Genomic DNA, 19,582 nt, shown 5'->3' with positions numbered 1-19,582 from the left:
ATTTTTTAAACTGTACTTGCACGCCTGTTTTCATTGTTGCATATAGTCTTCTACCACATCATATACCACCTCCCCTGCTGTTTCAGTTATTTCTAGTTGATTCTCCATATAGGCTGCCTGCAAGACTGACTAATAGGAGTTTTAAAAGGTCATTCCCTTTCAATTCACACAAAGACAAAAACAGATTAAATACAAGGAAGTATTTGAATTAACTATTAAAAGCTAAAAGCAAGCGGATTTCTTCCAAGGGACATATCAGAGAAACTGCAGTGTCATTTGGTTTTCCATGGGCTACTTTTATGCTAATGTAATAGGAATAAACAGTGGCAGGGAGATGAGGGCCTCAGGGGCTGCTGGTGGGGAGGACTGTAATGAGTTCAGAACAGTCCCAGAAGGTAACACTGATAAGAGACGAGGTGGAGTAGTAACAAACTATGAGCACTCAAGATGGAGAAAGCTGAGAAAGGGCTGAGAAACAAGAATTTTGAGTGGGCCAGCAAAAGTAATGAGTTATTAGACAAACACTTAAATCAAGAAATTGGATGAGAACAGAAGATGAGAGAGCCTCCACAGATATGCTTGGAGCTCCATGTCAAGGTATGTTCAGAAAAAAGGAAGAACTAATCATGACCATCTGTATGCACAGCCCAGCCAACACCATGTTAAATGTATGTCAAGTTCTCCAAGTAATATACATGTGTGTGTGCCTATAGTCATCGTTATTTGTAAAATGTTTGTTCTCTTAGCATATGATATTGTACATGGTAGACATCTGATGCATTTGTCAATTGTTGACTACTGGTGAAATTATCTGAAACAGATAGTTTTACAGCTTGTACAGTGATGGACATAGTGAGTATCAGAATTGTTCAGGGGTACAAGGTCTTGTATTCCTGGGGCTTGATCCTTGAAGAAGACTCTATTCTTAGGCTTCTAAGAGGTGGCAAGAGCCCTTTCTGGATTTGTCAGGTTCCTGTTTACTCACACAGTAAAAAAAAAAAACTTACCTTTTTCCTGTGCAGCAAGTGCCATCATTCATACCCATTTTCTAACAACTCTCTGCAAATCTGTAGATTAATAGATTAACACAGCCACTTCTCACTGTGACATGATGGGTGGGAATGTTTCACCCACCATAAGGTCCAGGAGTTGGTCACCAGCATCTCATTATTATAAACAGTAATGGCAGATATGGACTTCTGAACATTAGCATGGCTGGAACTACCTTGCTGGAGAAGGGTTCATTATAAATATTGACTATAATTCCCTTTTAAATTGAAAAAAAAAAATGAACTTTTCCTGTAGTAATATAACCTCGAATTATAGGCCCTCTGGCCTCCTGGAGAGAGAGAATTAAAAAAAAAAAAAAAAAAAAAAAGGAGAAAAGGATAGTATTAAAAAAAAAAATACCCAGACAGCATAAATATGTTGTGTAATTTAAATGAGAGTTAAACAAAGCAGGTGATAAAAGTAATCAAGTAGTAAACAAAGGGCAAGAGAATTAATATAAACATTGAACCAACAGGATGGTTAATTAGCTTGCTTTGCAAAGAAGATTTGATTTCTCCCCTGAAAGCAATGGTGGTGACAAATAAACCTCACCTACCAAATATCTTCAAGTATAATGTAATATATCCCCCATTGCCTATAAAAGAAATGCCACTGAGTTCCTTTGCATGCCACTGAATTACCATCTACAAGGGCCTTGCTCTGGGTTGTTTTGACAATGGTCCCTTAGTTTTTCTAAGCACTACAATTTCTATTTGAATTGTTCCAGAGTAGGAGGAAGTGGGGAGTCTGAAACTCAAACATCTACAGGGCTCAGGCAGTATCAGTGGGGGCACCAAAAGGGCCATATGGGACTGGCTACATAAGGTCCACTGTAAAATAAAAATGTGGAGCCTCTTATTAAAAAATTATTAAGAATTCCAAGATGGTTACAGCAGAGTATTAAACTAAGTGTGGGCCCTTCTCAGTGCAGGGCCCTATGCAACTACACAGGTTGCACACCCATAAAGCCTGCCCAGCAGCCATACAAAACAAGCTGCAGGCTAGGTTTAGCTCATGTATTAGCCAGTTTGAGACCCCATTCTAAAGGCTCTACTAGCCAGGTGGGGTGATGTGCACCTGCAGTCCTAACCACTTGGGAGGCTGAAGTGGGAGGATCGTTTGAGCCTAGAATTTCAAGGCTGCAGGGAGTAATGATTGCACTACTGCAATCTAGCCTGAACAACAGAGTAAAACCCTGTCTCCAAAAAAAAATCTGAAAATAAAATAAAGGTTCCACATTCTCTCCCTACTTACCCTTGTGACTCAAAGCACACCACTGCAAGATGGCTGGAAGAGTTTGGAGCATGCCCCATGGCTGAAGAACAGAGAAAAATATGGCTGGTGGCTTATGAGGAAAACAAAGTCTGTCCTTTATCTTCACCAAATCTTAAAGCCAACTCAGGAATTCAATTACTGACCGGTATGTGCTCGTGGAGAAGAAACTGTATGCCTTATTAATTCAAACTGCAATAGTCCCCCTCATTATCAGGGAATATGTTCCAAGACCCCCAGTGGATGCCTGAAACCATGGATAGCACCAAACCCTACATATACTATGTTTTTTCCTATACATATATACCTGTGATAAAGTTTAATTTATAGATTAGACACAATAAGAGATTAACAATAACTAATAATAAAACAGAACAATTGTAACAATATGCCAGCATCACTAATCTTGAGCTTTGGAGTCATTATTAAGTAAAATAAAGGTTATTTGAACATGGGCATTATGATAGCGAGATAGTTGATCTGAAAACCAAGACGGCTATTAAGTGACTTAACAAGCTGGTAGCATATACAGCATGGATATGCTGGACAAAGGAATGATACACATCCCAGGCAGGACAGAACAGTAATGGTGAGAGATTTCACTGCACTATGCAGAACAGCGCATAATTTAAAACTTATTGTTTATTTCTGCAATCTTCCATTGAATGTTTTCAGACCACGGATAACCATAACCACAAAAGGCTAAATCACAAATAAGGGCGCGGAAGGGGCTACTGTACCTAAAACTCTGTTGCCATGGCCAAAGTCCTATATGGATTGCTATTCCTCTGAAAAACCACACTCAGGGCCCATCTACAGAGTTCAGTCAATATGATTGTTTCGAGAAATGCTTCCCATTTAAAGCAATACTGTAAGGCACACTAGGGCGATTAGATGAGACTGAAGGTAACTGGTATACCTGTCCTTGTACAACTAAGTGTGTAGTTGGTACCTTGTATGATACATACCTCCATCAGCAGGCTGGCTGGAATGCTCAATTTAGAGGGCTCTCTGGACAATTTTTAAAGGTGATGAATATCTTTTATAAAAACAAAAATATCTCTCCTTAACTGATCTGCCACACACATTTCATATTTCCATATGTCAAGTTTGTCAACTGAGATAGACATGCACTATTTGACTGATTATAATTTTATTTCTCAAAATAGTTTATACCAAAAAAATACTAATTGCCATATTGGTCTTGTCCACATCCAGAAAGATTCTAATCCAAACCCATGCAAGAAAAAAAAAAGTTATTATTTAATGCAGTAAGTTTACCTCCACATATAAACCATATAGCTATATGTACCTATACAAATGTGCACAGATAATGGGCTTCTCTAATAACACATGGAATAAAAAGTAAATAGAAATAGTATTGCAGTATTAGAGGAAATAAATTATTTTACCAATTTACCCATTTTTCCCTTCCCCTCTAGAATGTAGCTGGGGAAGAGATTTGCATCTGTCTTGCTCATTGCTATAGATTCCCTGACAATGCCTGGCATATAGGAGATATTCAATAAATATTTATTGAATTGAATTGAATCCATGCGATCAAAACAAACTGCCATTCATGGGTTCTAGGATTATAAATAGAAGAAAATCAGAGACATGTAGCAAGACCACCAACTTCCCTAAATTCCACTGGCTATTTTATTTCCTAATTGGAACCTAACTCCTGTAGTCATTGTACCTAGCAGCTTTGATGCTTTCTGATCAGCCTCTCATTCCTGTACCTCATGCAGACACAAGCTTGGGCCTCTTTGGAGCAGGTTAGGACAAAGGTTAACTTCTTCCTGGAACCTAGAAAAGGCTAATGAGCCCTGTGGAATAATATTTCTAAGTATTCACCATACAGGAATCAATATCAACATGCTGTCAGTGTGTGCATTAGCCCCACACTCAAACAAAGAACAGCCCTTAGAGCCCAATAATGACGCTGGGCGTGGATAGCTGGGGATGAGCAAGATGATACAGAAATGACTATATCAGCTCTCCTCAAACACAAGGCTTCCAGGTTATTACACAAGACTGTCATTCTTGTACTTTGTCAGAGATAGACAGAGTTTGGTTTCAGCCACTGATACATTCAGCAAAATAAATCCTCTATCTTCTTAACCTAAGAGATAGATTCAGATTACACTTTCCAGACTGTGAGAGAAGTTTCTGCTTCTGTTCTCAACACCAGGTTGAGAACAGAACCTGGTGCAACAGCAGGGAATACAAACATCTTAAAGTTAACAAAGCACCACAAATATAGCTGATAAGACAGGTTTATAACAAAGCTGAATCATTACTGACTCAGGTAAGACCTGCTTTGAGTGCAACTCCATCATGCCCACAATTATTGATGTAACATTTTCCATACAGAGATCCTGCTAGAAAGTTATATCAAGCAAGGGCAGTGGCAAAAGTCTAAGCATCAACTCTTCATTACTTAAATCTCTGGGTACAAAGTAAATATTCACATCTGATCAAGATTCATGCTCATCCTTACAGTGAAATCAACCTTAGTGTTGCAAATGACATTTCATTCTACATATGAAATCTGATTTTCCAATTAGAATGAGGAGGGGTGGGGTACGTGTGATAGAGTATAGATGACTGATCTGTATGGTATATACAGTAAAGATGTCATAAAACTGAGATGGCCGTGGGTAAGCATGTGTGCTGCATAGCCAGATCGCAATGGTTTGGAATCCTGGCCCAATCACTTATTAACTACATAACCTTAGCCAAGTTTATTCGCCTGGCTAAGGACTGGTTTTTGCAAAATGTGAATAATAACACCTAATCCTATAAAGTGAGATTATTACTCTCTACTTCATAATAATAATAAGGGCTAAATAAGATATACACAAAACTTAATTCAGTACTGATACACAGTAAGAACTGAATAAATGATAGCTATGATTGTTATTATGATTATTATTTTTATCATCCCTATGCGGCCTAGTTATCGGCAAAGAATTAACTTCTTTGTAACTTTGTAATGTATTTGTGAAAGCCATGACCAAAAGTATAGAGGACATTAACTTCTTGTGAGGCTTCCATGGCCTAAACTCTGTCCAATAAACATGGTCTTGATGATCTATCATTACTGTGAAACAAAATTCCTTAAACTGTAGAAAGTTTCAGTGAGGCACCAATAAATACAGCCATAGAGAAATCTCTCCCTTCCCCTATACACACACACACACCATCTACCCCTTGGGGATATATTAAAACTAAGACAACTGAAATAGCCTTAGCCAGTAATTAAGACATGCAGCTAATCAGAGAGCAGCGCAGGCTGTGGCCCTCTACAAAGAAACGAAGAAACAAAACATTAGGATGATAGCTCTCATTACCAGGGCTTTGTTCTCCTGGAGCAAAAAGAGCACAAAAGCATAAAGTTGGAGAACTGTAATTGCATTTTGAACATTTGCGGGGGGAAAAATTACAGGGTTGTCTGAACCGGGAGGATGTTCCACTAGATAACTGCGTCAGTCCACACCCACCAGCGCCCTTCCCCACCCTCAAAGCATGACTCCACTTTTTCTAACACTGCCCTTAAGGAATCTAGCTTTTGTGACTTCCAGTAATTGAACAAATCAACCATGATGAAGCAGCTGAAGAGCACTTTAAACAAAAGAGACAAGAATTAAGCAAACAGAAAACTCATTACAATGCTGCCTTTTGCTTTTTTTTACTCCTAGAAATTCATGTTACCAAACAAGTCTTTCTTCATTGCTCTTCTTCAGAAATAATACTTTAAGAAAATTCTAAAAGGCACTAAGTGATTTTATCCAGATTTATAATCTAGCTACAAGACATACTTTCCCTTCCCCCATCACCATCTAGCACTCTTCCCTGTCACCTTAGAGCTTTCGACTTAGATGTGTTCACACCCAGCAGTCCCAGCAGAGCTTTCTGCTCACATTATATGACATAAAAAAGCAGGCAATGAACAATTCATGCTTCTAAGTGCTTGCGATAAAGCCAGGCTGAGCTGACCTCTCCCATCCTATACAGCTGCATGTCAGAAACATAAGCTTAAAGGACTGAGAGTAGCAAGCATGTGCGTGATGTGGTATAAACAAACAAATTAAAACCTGAGGCCTTTCCTCTGGCTGGTGCCTAATGGGACTAGCATACTTAACTCTGTGCAAAAAAAAAAAAAAAAAAAAAAAAAAAAAATCACTCCAAGCTAGCTAAAGGTATTGCTTTTCCTGCTTTCCATGATATATCTCTTTAGCCCCAATAAACAGACTAAAAGAAGAGGAATTCAATGGTTGCCATTCTTTCGTGTAAGACTTTTTGAGTAAAAACTATCAATTTGGCAGCATTAAGCCACAAGACCACTCCCTGATTCTAAGTGGACATATTGATCAATTGAACTGACATGTGCCTCCTCCTTTCTCTCCCCTAGTAGCAATCAGCTGTACCAGGGAAATCCATTTCATTTCCCAAAACAAAAGGCAACATTCTGCTCCTTATCTGACACTGTCAGACTAATTTTTTAGAAAATAATAATAATAATAAAGATGCCTAAAAACAGAGCTAGGAGTTGAAATGAAAATGATACGTGTTTAGAGTTTTGGAATTGAGTTGAGGTTATGACTGAGTCCAGAGGTCTGTAATCCCTACAACCACTGAGGACCCTGATATTTATTCATCATACCCAGATTTTTGTTAAAGTTAAGCAAGGGATGGCAACACCACTGCCACTTCAGAGGCTCTCCCAGGGTTACCCTTCACTGCAACTGCCGCAGAGAGGAGACTTGTTCCTTTCTCAGTTACAAGTCAGCCTGCAAACAACTCCAGCTATTTCAGAGACTAGCTAGAGATGGAAAAATATGTGGCAGTCTTTCAACTAACTCTGAAGGACATGGGTTGAAGAACTACCATATAGATCAAAAGGCTCAAATAATTTCATTTGGTTTAGGTTTTTATGCTTTTAATAAATTCTGTCTTGAATATGCAAGAGATCCCCTTTCACATCAGGGTTATGTCAAATGCTTATTCAGCATTTGTTCCTTGCCATGAAGAAACTGAAACCCAACCGAGGTAAATAATGAATTTCATACTGCAAATCACTGAATATTTCATAATTCACAAGAGCAAAGAGGGGGCCAATTAGCTCTGCCTCCCAAAAAGAAATCTATATTTTTACAATGCTTAAATACTGTTAACTACTCATTTTAAAGCTTATCTGGGGTTTTGCAATTGAAAAATCATCTTATGTTTATGAAAAATTCTGTAAGAACACTTAAAAATAACAGACAGAGCTGGAGCAAGAATAATTCTACATATTTTAATTCCTATATGACTCTTACAGGCCTTTGTCTTAACCCGGCAGCCTGAAAAACGATTTAGGTAAAACAGCCCTTCTTTCCCCAGTCCATTTTAAGCAGAGACAACATCCCCCAATCTCCGCCTTAGCAGACACCGACTAACCAACAAAACAGCCGTGCAATTAAGGCCCAGACATTTAACACTCACCATCTCCTGATCCCACCGTCTTCTTTTGATGTTTACAGCACATCTGTAGGATGCAATACTAGGAGATGCCTTGTTTGACCTGCTGCATGATGCTGTGACATCAGTTCAGATGATGCAGCTCATTATGGGAAAGACTGCTGTTGCTATGGCAACTGGGATGTGCTAGGAATCCTTGCTGCATTTCCAGTGGAGCCTGAGACAATACGGAAGCCCTGTAAGAAACAGACGATATGCAAAATTTAGACCAAAGGAAGAGGATTCCTCATTGGACTAAAATCCATAGGTTTAAAAGGGATTTCCCTGAAAGCATTTTGGAAAAAACAAAAATTATCTCCCCCTTTGTTGTTATACATTTAGAAAAAAAAGGTGGGAGGAGAAAATAGAATTAGTACTAAGCAAATAAAAACTGAAATGTACAATGTTTCCTTATTAGACAATTTGATCACTTTTTCCTCCCTGGTCAGCACTGGGATAGCTTTTTAAAAGTTATTAAAAAGAATTTTTGCTCATCTGTCAAAGACCAAAAGAACAAAACAGCGAGCACAAAAATAATTAAAAATGGAATATAAACAGCTGACCAAATGACTCTAACTCTCAAGTAAACAAGTTTTAATTCTCAAAACATGGGCAAACCCTTGGCCAATGAAGTCTGTCCTGGTTATTTTCCCTGATGAACACCAACCCACAGAACCTTCCCATGCAGAATAAACCCAGCTTTCACCTGGTCATCAGATAGGCAGCAAAGGGAAGTTTGGAATCTAGAGGGGCACAACACACCACCCTCAACTTCTACTGACCCTTCCTTTGGCCTGCAGGGAACCCCTCCTTCTCATGGCCAAAACGCATGTGAGTCTTTTCTGGGATCAAACCTAGTGGTTGGAACAAGTAGCAGACCTGCTAGAAACTTCCTAAATCGTTGGCATTCCAAACATTGGGGTCTGTTTTCTTCTTTTCTGAACAATAAAACTGCCTACCACACAGATTATTTGTGCCCCTCCCCAACCCCAAAAGCTGGAACTGTGTGAAAAGCCACATTTAAACAAGACACGGTAAGGCATTTCTCCAGTTGGTAAAAGAAAAGCAAATCTAAAGCAATCACTTCTTTCCAGTCCTGAGCAGAAATCAACGTCATGTGGTGAGAACTGGGGAGAAGGAGATATGGACAGAGCAGCCTATGTTTTGCATATTTAATATTTGCAGGCCATTGATAGAGAAAAGCAGAATCAAGTTGACCTGTATCCACTCCGTCTTCACAACTCTGAAAAAGAACAACATTCCAAAAGCTTAAAACATGAGACAATTATGTTGTCTCCTCCTGCTTGAGATTTTAAAATGGCACTGTTAACCACCAGCATAGGCGGTGTGGGATGAGTGGCAGAAGGAATTCAGGCAGTGTCTCTGTAAACAGGAGCTAATAAAATGCCTGAGAAGTGCCAATATCCCAGCAGCGTGCACCATCAGCCTCGCACAGAGCAACCCTGCCCTAGATGGGAAGACAGACTTGTTCTTGCTTCATCTAGAGAGGAATTAAGAGACCAAAAGCAGGAGGTGAATCTGCCTGCTTAGGTCCTTTGTGGCATCAGCAGAGCCTGACTCCCTCCCTTTATCTTAGACCTCAGACCACATGCCACACACAAGGGGAGAAGTAGCAGGCAGCTACCCCAGTACAAAGAGTACAGATCTGAGAGTCAGGAAACCCAACTGTAAATGTCAGGTCCTCCTAGAGCATCTGTGTGATATCAGGCCAATTGATTAACTTCTTGGGGCCTCAAGTTTTTCATCTGCAGAGATGATTGATTTAGCTAATAACCATAGTTTTCAGGTTTTTCATTAGTAATATAACCTTTCTTTTAATGATACAGATCAAAGCTGGACTGCCTTGGTTGAGGCAAGATAAGAAGCCCAGAGCCCAGACTGATGAGCCATTCTCAACCACTGCCTCCAACCTCATTTGCTGTAAGCTGACTCTTTAAGATACCTCTGAAGAACCCTTCAGTCTCTGGAGAAGATAAAGAGACATGGACCTATTACAGAACAAGATTAGTCTTTCCAGAGCTGAAATCCACATGCTATAAAGAGGAGAGGACAGGGTGGGAGCAGGTGTTCCAGATTTGAATATGGCTTCTCAAGATGGTAAGAATCTTGTTAATCTTTTTTGCCAGAAGCAAGTCAATCATTTGATGGGAAGAAATGGATGGCTCATCAAACCTGAGGCCAGGTCAAACTTTTAGCAACCTGGACTAGCTAAATTGCTTGCCCACAAAATGGCACTCACCAATGAAACGGAAGTAGAAGTGGAAACCATCAACTCCAAAGGTGGCTAAGACCAAGTGTCTCTTCTTCATGTTTTCCTGTCCTGCTAGCTGGATGCAAAGAATCCAGTGGAACTCTGAAGCCCAGAAAGATAATGGCCACACATTGTGGATGGAGCCTGGGTCCCTGAATGACTGCATGGAGCTCAACCATCCTCTCCCAACTACCTATTGACCTACACTGGGCTGCAATGAGTGAGAAACAAACACCACCAAGATTTTGGGGTAGTTTATTCTGAACAAATTATCCATTTATAGATAAAATTATAATTTAATAAAATATAAATTTTCTAACAAGATTATATTATATATCATTATTTATGATAAAGTGACAGTGTTAAAAACATGTTCCTTTATTGCAGACTTTCTTTTTTTATTTTATATTACTTTAAGTCCTGGGATACATGTGCAGAACATGCAGGTTTGTTACATAGGTATACATGTGCCATGGTGGTTTGCTGCACCTATCAACCCATCATCTAGGCTGTAAGCCCTGCATGAATTCGCTATTTGTCCTAATGCTCTCCCTCACCTTGCCCACAACCCCCCGAAGGGCCCTGGTGTATGGTGTTCCCCTCCCTGTGTCCATGTGGTCTCATTGTTCAAATCCCATTTATGAGTGATAACATGCAGTGTTTGATTTCCTGTTCCTGTGTTAGTCTGATGAGAATGATGGCTTCCAGCTTCATTCTTTTTTATGGCTGCATAGTATTCCATGGTGTACATGTGCAACATTTTCTTTATCCAGACTATCATCGATGGGCATTTGGGTTGGTTCCAAGTCTTTGCTATTGTAAATAGTGCTGCAATAAACATACATGTGCATGTGTCTTTATAGTAGAATGATTTATAATCCTTTGGGTATATACCCAGTAATGGGATTGCTAGGTCAAATACTATTTCTGGTTCTAGATCCTTGAGGAATCGCCACACTGTCTTCCACAATGGTTGAACTAATCTACACTCCCCAAAACAATGTAAAAGCGTTCCTATTTCTCCACAGGCTCTCCAGCATGTGTTGTTTCCTGACTTTTTAATAATTGCCATTCTAACTGGCGTGAGGTGGTATCTCATTGTGGTTTTGATTTGCACTTCTCTAATGACCAGTGATGATGAGCTTTTCTTTCATATGTTTTTTGGCCACATAAATGTCTTCTTTTGAGAAGTGTCTGTTCATATCCTTTGCCCACTTTTTGATGAGGTTGTTTTATTCTTGTAAATTTGTTTAAGTCCCTTATAGATTCTGGATATTAGACCTTTGTCAGATGGGTAGACTGCAAACATTTTCTCCCATTCTGTAGGTTGCCTGTTCACTCTGATGATAGTTTCTTTTGCTGTGCAGAAGCTCTTTAGTTTGATTAGATCCCATTTATCAATTTTGGCTTTCGTTGCAATTGCTTTTGGTGCTTTAATCAGTAAGTCTTTGCCCATGCCTGTGTCCTGAATGGTATTGCCTAGGTTTTCTTCTAGGGTTTTCATGGTTTTAAGTCTTTAATTCATCTTGAATTCATTTTTGTATAAGGTATAAGAAAGGGGTCCGGTTTCTGTTTTCTGCATGTAGCTAGCCAGTTTTCCCATCAGCATTTATTAAATAGGTTGCAGATTTTCTAAGAGTTTTCAATCTGCTAATATGCATTGAGACTCTCCTGTAGAAATATAGTATGCAGTATTTTCCTAATTTATATTTAATCACAGAATCCTTTTTTCATAGACTAATGTTCCATTGGGTGTCCATCTGCAACATAGTAAATATGACTGTAAACAGCAATGAGCTAGAACACCACTAAACCTCCAATTCAGCCTGCGGCTGCAGAAGAAGGAAAAAATAAAACTTCTCTCACCTTCAGCACAACTCAGTCTGCCTCCAATCTTTCTCTGCCATCCTGAACTGACAAGACAGAAATCTGGTAGTATCATTTGCAGACAGCAACATTTATAGAAATGTTTCCTCCTGGTCATTTTTTTCCTATTTGTAAGTAGGCATTGGCTATAGTTTGAGTGTTCCCTCCAAAATTCATGGGTTTGGTTTTCTGGGTTTGGTTTTGTTTGTTTGTTTGTTTATTTGTTTGTTTAAGAGGAGGCATCTCAATATGCTGCCCAGACTGGATTCAAACTCCTGAGCTCAATGAATCCTCCTGCCTCAGCTTCCCAAGTAGCTGGAACTATAGGCTCATGTTGAAACTTAATTGCCCTTGTGATGATACTTAAGAGGTGGAGCCATCGTGAATAGACTAATACCACTATCATAGGAGTAATTTAGTGACTGCAGGAGTTCAGCCCCCTTTTTCCATCTCTGCATTCTCACCCTCTCACCATGTGATCTCTTCCACAATGTTATGATTCAGCAAGAAGGTCATCACCAGATGCAACCCCTTGATCTTGGACTTCCAGCCTCCAGAACAAATAAACTTCTTTGTATATAGATTACTCAGTGTTAGATATTGTTATAGCAGCAAAATATGAACAAAGACAAAGTTGTATTCCAAATTCTTATTATTTCAAAAGCAAATTAGTATTATTTCCAAATCATTAACTCATGATGTAAACATACATCTTGTGTTTGCATGCTAGGGTTTTAAAAAATCTTAAAGCCATTTCTGAAAATGCAGCAGGCCTGCATCTCTTGGTATACAATGAGAAAATTTGTAGATCTGAGGAATGTGTCTGTTAGTTAAGGAAGTACTAATGGATTTCACAGCTAAGCTGCTAAATTACTCTGGCTAAATATAGTTGTGTATGTCTTATTCATTTGAACTCTAACTGAATATTCCTGACTGCAGATGACCTTCTATGTGGTTATTCAAGACCTCTCTCTTGAGGTTTCACCTTCCTCTAATGCCTTACATTCCTGGGCATAAGTTGACCAATTGAGGAAAGATGGGAGATGGTATAGGGGAGGTTTTCATGGGCTAGGTCTGGAAGTACCCTTCTTCACTTCCACCCCACATTCCACTGGTTAGAACTTGGTCAAATGGCCATACCTATTGCAAGATAAGCTGGAAAATAGAATTTAGCTTTGTGCCATGAGAGAAAAGGAAACAGCTAAAATGCATAGTTATCCAGTTCTGCCACATCATGAGATCAGGAATATGATCCTTGCTTCAGGCTGCATTTTACCTATGTGTCTGCAATACCTTCACTGAGTCTTCTGAAGCTCAACTGAACGTTCAGGTGTATAAGACTATCACAGTCAACATTTGGCACCAGCCTACTCAGAGAGTTTGCCAACAGAGCAGCATCAGGCATTCCTCTTCTCTGGAGTCTTGTGGTAATCCATGGAACAATCTATACAGTGTCCAAAGCTATTCTATCTGGCCCCCTGGTGACAGTTTAAGAACTCAGGTAAGAACACATTAGGCAAGTTCAAGAGTGCCCGGCCTTGAAAACCTCATTCCTCACAGGAACCAATATCTTTGTAACAACTTCATAGGCATAACTTCCAGATCCCTCCAAGAGACACACCTGGTTACAAGAGTCATTGCACTCAGAGAAGCCCAAAACTACAGCTTCTTCTTAGAATTTATAGTTATCTCAAACTAGCTACTAAGGAGGGCTTACTCCTCATCTCCCATTTCAGATGTAGCCAGGGAATATAATGAATGGAACAGGGCTATGACAGAGTAAACAAACAGCCCGTCTTGGAGAGCAGAGTCAGGGCCAGACCAGGTAAATTCCCCTTCTCCAAGGCAGTCATTTTCACTAACCAAGGGTCATTTTTACCCTAACCAATGTTACCCAATAACATGGTTGACATTTTACTGTTTTCAAGGGAACAGAGTTACAGAGTTAACCAAACGTCAAAATCTTATGCAGAAGGAGAAAGGGTTTAGTGAATCCTCTACCAATAGCGCCCAATTTTGGCTTTAAAAAAGACCTTCATTCACAAAATAGAAAAGTATTCAAACACTCTAACCACATGCCTATATGATCATAAGCCCATGCTGACTGTGGATGCTGCTTCAACCCATACACTTTCTATGTTTTCTGAGAGTATTTGGAGGCCAAAAATATTTGGACATCAGATATTTAGGCACAGTGCATTTGTGTGGCTGCTATTGTTATTGAATGCTCATCATCCCTCTGCTTTATGTAGGTAGCCATGTAAAGAAGAAATTATTACCTGATGATTATCAATCATTGGCAATCAGAACAGAACTTGCAGCAGCAATAATGGTATACAAATTCAGTTATTTTGTTACCTAATTTTTGCATTTATTATTTCCTCTTAGATATCACCTTTTCTACACTCAAACTTACATGCTTTGGGTGGGAATCTAACGAAAGGAATGGAGTATGTGACCCAATCAATCTTAAGCTAATCAGTTTATTACTATTCCCATGACCCACGGAAATTAGTTCAGAGGTGTACATGGGATACCATTGAAGCCACTGAGAAGCAATGAAACATTTTACTGAAAATCACTATTGGCTCCTGATTTTGAATAGGAAAGGATGTCAAGTCTAAAGTTGCTCATCCATTTTGTATTCATGAATGAAGAACCTGTCTAAGAATAAAGCCAACACAAGGAGAAGAGCAGAGCTGAGTTGAGAGAAAGGAACACTTTCCTCTCACCACTTATGCCAGAAATCAGCCTTACTCTGGTTCTGTTGGTTATGAGTCCAAAAGTCCCTGTTTCTGCTTAAGGCAATGTATGGCTTGGAGGTTCAGTCACAGTAAACAGAGGCCTAACTGATTCACAAAGTCATCTGAGAAATTGTGTAATGTATAAGTAGGCACCAGTAGCATGCAGCTTCCTAGGAAGGGAAAAGAAAAGCTATTAGGTCCCAGAGGGGTTCACAGCCTCAGAGCTGAGACCCTTCAAAGGGTTAGGTTCAGGGCCAGAACTGGTAAGACCTACTCACAAGGTAGATGCAAGATATTATCCTCCCTTACTCCTGAACATTCCCAAATTTATGATAGTGACCACCATCTCAATGAGCTTGAGTTCCATTCCTCTCCTTTCCCAGGCAAAATTTCCATTGGCAAAGACGAAAACCTCAACAAGCCCAGGGAGGGTAGATCAGATCTTGAATGAACATTAGATTTGGAATCTGAAATAGACCTTGGGGTGATTTTGCCCATAGAAACTTGCCCTAACCAGTTCAGAGATTTCTCTGACGTCCTTCTGAATTCAAGATTTTCTCTTGTCTGACTTTATGGAACTTTATAGTGTTTTTATTTGTTTTTGTTTTTGTTTTTGTTTTGCTGTTTTGAGACAGGATCTCACTCTGTTGCCTAGGCTGGAGTGCAGTGGTGCAATCACACTTCACTGCAGCCTCAACCTCCCAGGCTCAGGTGATCCTCTCACCTCAGCTTCCTGAGTAGCTGGGACTATAGATATGCCAGCATGCCCAGCTAATTTTTGTGTTTTTTTGGAGAACAGGGTTTCACCATGTTGCCCAGGCTGGTCTTGAACTCTTGGGCTTAAGCAGTCTGCCTACCTCAGCCTCCCAAAGTGCTGGGATTACAGGCATGAGCCACCACACCTGGCCGACCAGTGTTTTGCTGTTTCATTTTGAATTTAACTACAAACACAAACATTTGACATGGAACCTACTGGCTTTAATGTGTTAATGGAAGCACAATTGTGCTGCTAATTTATACAGGCAAAGGAAAACACTGAGGACGAACATATTAGACAGGAGTTTACAAGCTTTTTGAACTGGGGCTTTCCTGTTTTAGCATTCGATGTTTTCATAGGTCTTAATCTTGCCTCCTCAAGTACACAGCTCTTTATGGTACTGCTATTTTGGTCACACTCCTAGGCATAAGCAATTTCTTAATAAGTCCTTCTTAATTCTTAATTATTTGAGAAAAATAGCATTATTTCTATTCCAGGCAATGATAAGCTTCCTGCAAGCTTTCTCTTTATCACCCCAGTGTTTGAAACGTTGTAAGATTCTACTAAGGTTTATATGTGTAAATCTTTATCCCTTCCTTTACTGCCTAAAATACCAAAATATAATTTGCTACTGAAAAGATTAGACCTAAAATGACAAAGCAAGTCAGCAAGAAAACACCTACTATGTGTCATCAGAGTTCTTATTTGCAGGAAATAAAGTGGTGCTCATGATACCTGTTTTCAAGTTATTCACAACTGTCTTGTAACTAACACAGCAATTTCACCCAACAAGTTCTTTCAATTTAGTCTCTGCCCCTTACCTGAGAAAAAATATTGATAATCAATCCTCATTTACAAATAGTCTCCCAGCATAAACAAATTACATTATAGAAAAATGGAAATTTCCAAGATAATTTTAAAGGCGTTCCTTTTTCTAAGGAAAATAATTATATCATGCTTACAAGGTAAAAATCCTTCAGTAATTAATATATTAAAGGGTACACTACAACAAAATCACAGCAGCTCTAACAAAAAAGATTTACTTATGGGGTAGAAACATTTTCTTTAGTGAATAATCCAGTTTGACAAATACACTCTTAAAAATCAGCTCTATGAAGTGTAGGGTTGTACACTATTCACAAGTCTTTCCATTTGCTAGGGTTCTATGAAATAAACAAGAGCTGAAATCCTACATCCTATGATAAGTATCAACTTCCTTTTACCTCTAGCTGAGACTTTACATCAGCCTGCCTTGTATTCCACTAAACAGATGTTTGTCTGTCACAGAAACAACTTCAACCTCCTTTGGGTCAAGAACTGTCTTCCAGAGTAGCATAGGTTGTGTAGCAAGCACTTGTTGGGCACCTCGCCTAGTAAATGTTTTTATCTGAGTTTGCCAAACTCAGCAACTTAATCCTCCCTCCTATTCTCCACCCCTGGCCAGTTAAAGACATGCAATCAAAAATTCCAAAACCAGCCAAGTGCATTGGCTCATGCCTGTAATCCCAGCACTTTGGGAGGCTGAGGTGGGTGGATCACCTGAGGTCAGGAGTTCGAGACCAGCCTGGCCAACATGGTGAAACCCTGTCTCTACTAAAAATACAAAAATTAGCTGGGTGTTGTGGCACATGCCTGTAATCCCAGCTACTTGGGAGGCTAAGGCAGGAGAATCACTTGAACCCGAGAGGCAGAGGTTGTAGTAAGCTGTGATTGTGCCACTGCACTCCAGCCTGGGTGACAGTGCAAGACTCTGTCTCAAAAAAAAAAAATTCCAAAGTCAACAGTCAAACATAAACATGTGTGCATATAAATACACACACATGCACATATAGATTTAAAAATATATGTGAGAATGAATTTTTGCATATAATATCAATCTTTCCTTCTCATACTAATGACATCATTTTACATTTGTTTACTAATTTACTACTGAAATAAACATTCTGTCAATATACTTATTATGAAAACATTTCACAATAATACAAAATATTATTGTTCATAGAATTCTTCTGAAAAAGATTACACAGACACAAACATAAAAGTAAATATATAATACATGTCACAAAAAGAACATATACAATAATACATACATTGAGATATAAAAAGAACAAAATCAAGTAATAAAATCATTGCTTTACTCAGTTCTATATTTATAGTGCTTACTTACCCAGCTCTTATTTGGAAGTTGGCCAAAGAGATCAACCTTTTTCCCAACACTATAAGATTAAAACAATTCAGGACCTGTTTTACTGGCATGTTGACTTGGCTTAATGTCTTTTTTTTTTTTTTTTTTTTTTTGGAGACAGAGCCTCACTTTGTCACCCAGGCTGGAGTGCAGTGGCCTGATCTCAGCTCACTGCAGCCTCCACCTCCCAGGTTCAAGCAAGATTCTCCTACCTCAGCCTCCCAAGTAGCTAGGACTATAGGCATTCACCACCATGCTGGTTCATTTTTGTATTTTTAGTAGAGACAGGGTTTCACCATGTTGGCAAGGCTAGTCTCAAACTCCTGACCTCAAGCGATCCGCCAGCCTCGGCTTCCCAAAGTGATGGGATTACAGGCATGAGCCACTGCACCCGGCCTTGGCTTAGTGTCTTAAACCACCTAAGAAGTGTGGTGTAACTGAAGCATACCCACTGTGGTTGACCAGCACTAGAATAATGTGTGGTTTAGGATTTGAATTGTTAATGGGATGCTGTAGAATATCACTAATATACTATACCAGGTGAGTTAGACTGAAGAAAAAGATGATGTCCCAAGGTGAAAATGAGCCAGCACTATTTACATATGTGATATTTCAAGTGTTGATCTTAAAGCAGGTAAATACTAAATCCCCACCCCCACCCAAAGAGGGGCCACTCTGAACTCCTGAGGAAGCGCTATTTCTGGTGCTCTGTAAGGCTCCCATGCACTGCAGGCTTTGAAAACAGCTTTGGAGTCCTCTTCCTCTGCAGGCACCAGCCTTATGAGTAACTATCACTCAAATGGTGGGATCTGAGGAGAATCTGAGTCTAGTTTGCCCTACAGTCTCCCTCACAAACCTGCTTTGGTTCCTAAATTACCTCAGAATTCAGTCCACTCAGTTGGAAGCTAAGGAAGCTTTTAAAGGATAGGTATCACCGTCGGCCATCCACAACCACTGATATCTGCAAAGCAGCACATGCTGTGGGAAAGATGCTAACTAGACTAGTGGGAAGGTAATTAGGTTGCACTAACTAGCCACGGGAAATCAAAATAACTGCTCTGCTTACCTAACATTGCTATCATCCACTGAGAAGTAAAAGGCTGTATTTGTGTTTTAAGGGAAAACGGAAACCAGTAAAGGGGCATAGAAAAGCAAAGAAAAAAGAGGGGAAAAAAGGGGGAGAAAAGGGACTGAAAGAGATTAGGGGAAAAAAGGAGGAAAAAAGGACAGGGAAAAGCGAGGAAGGAAAGGAGAGGGGAAGAAAAGGGGACCAACAGGGGAAAATGGAAGGAGACGAGCAAAGAGAAGGGAAAGAGGTAAAGGTTGGGGGAGGAATCAAAGAAGGTAGGCTTTAAAATCTGAATTTCTTTCTGGACGTTACTCCCACCTAAAATCTGCTCTGGGACAAAGAATTTATCTGGGCTTTATGTTTTTTCCCCTCTGGGAAATGGGGATAATACCTGCCTTACAAAATTATTATAAAGATTAGCAATCATAAATCCATTCGACAAATCTTTATTGAGCATCTACTATGTACCAGTCACTGTTCCAGGTGCTTGGGATACATCAGTGAACAAAACAGGCCATGATCCCTGTCCTTGGGGAGCTCATATTCTAGTACAAGTTAAAGTATCCAGCATGGTGCCTGGCATATATCAGACATGCAATAGATATTGGTTAACATTTTCATCAAGACTAATAATGTATAAGGTGTTATGAAATGTAAAATATTATTCTTAGCCCAAATTAATCAGATTAGCCAGATTGCATTCCTATGGAGAAATGAAACTTAGAAGAGGTAAACTTTGATGTGTAGGGGAAGAAAGGTCTGGCAAACCAGATGGTGCCTGGGAGAGACTGAGGTAGAGCCCTGTGTACCCCAGGAAGGACAGCCCTGCATCATCAGTAGGAGGAAATTGCTCTTTGACCAG

The 19,582-nt window shown here is 39.6% G+C and overlaps 1 protein-coding gene across 8 annotated transcripts in view, besides 1 other annotated feature; it reads right to left on the bottom strand.

Moving 5' to 3' along the window:
• AKAP6 (A-kinase anchoring protein 6) overlaps positions 1–7,923 on the bottom strand; it is a 508,387-nt gene extending 500,464 nt beyond the window's left edge. For all 8 annotated transcript variants that reach the window (XM_047431969.1, XM_047431966.1, XM_024449755.2 and 5 more), the window contains exon 1: positions 7,813–7,923. The gene's annotated coding sequence lies outside the window, so the exon portion shown is untranslated. The remainder of the gene's footprint in view (positions 1–7,812) is intronic.
• Positions 5,664–5,958: an enhancer, noted in NCBI's record as "tiled region #12143; K562 Activating DNase matched - State 5:Enh". NCBI's record gives its function as "activates a minimal TATA promoter and a strong SV40 promoter by Sharpr-MPRA in K562 cells {active_cell/tissue: K562}" and the evidence as "EXISTENCE:reporter gene assay evidence [ECO:0000049][PMID:27701403]".
• Positions 7,924–19,582: the final 11,659 nt, after the last annotated feature.

This window comes from Homo sapiens, chromosome 14, assembly GCF_000001405.40.
Source record: "Homo sapiens chromosome 14, GRCh38.p14 Primary Assembly".
NCBI lineage: Eukaryota > Metazoa > Chordata > Mammalia > Primates > Hominidae > Homo > Homo sapiens.
Note: the sequence above shows the minus strand (reverse complement) of the source record. Positions and strands in the feature narration are given on the sequence as shown.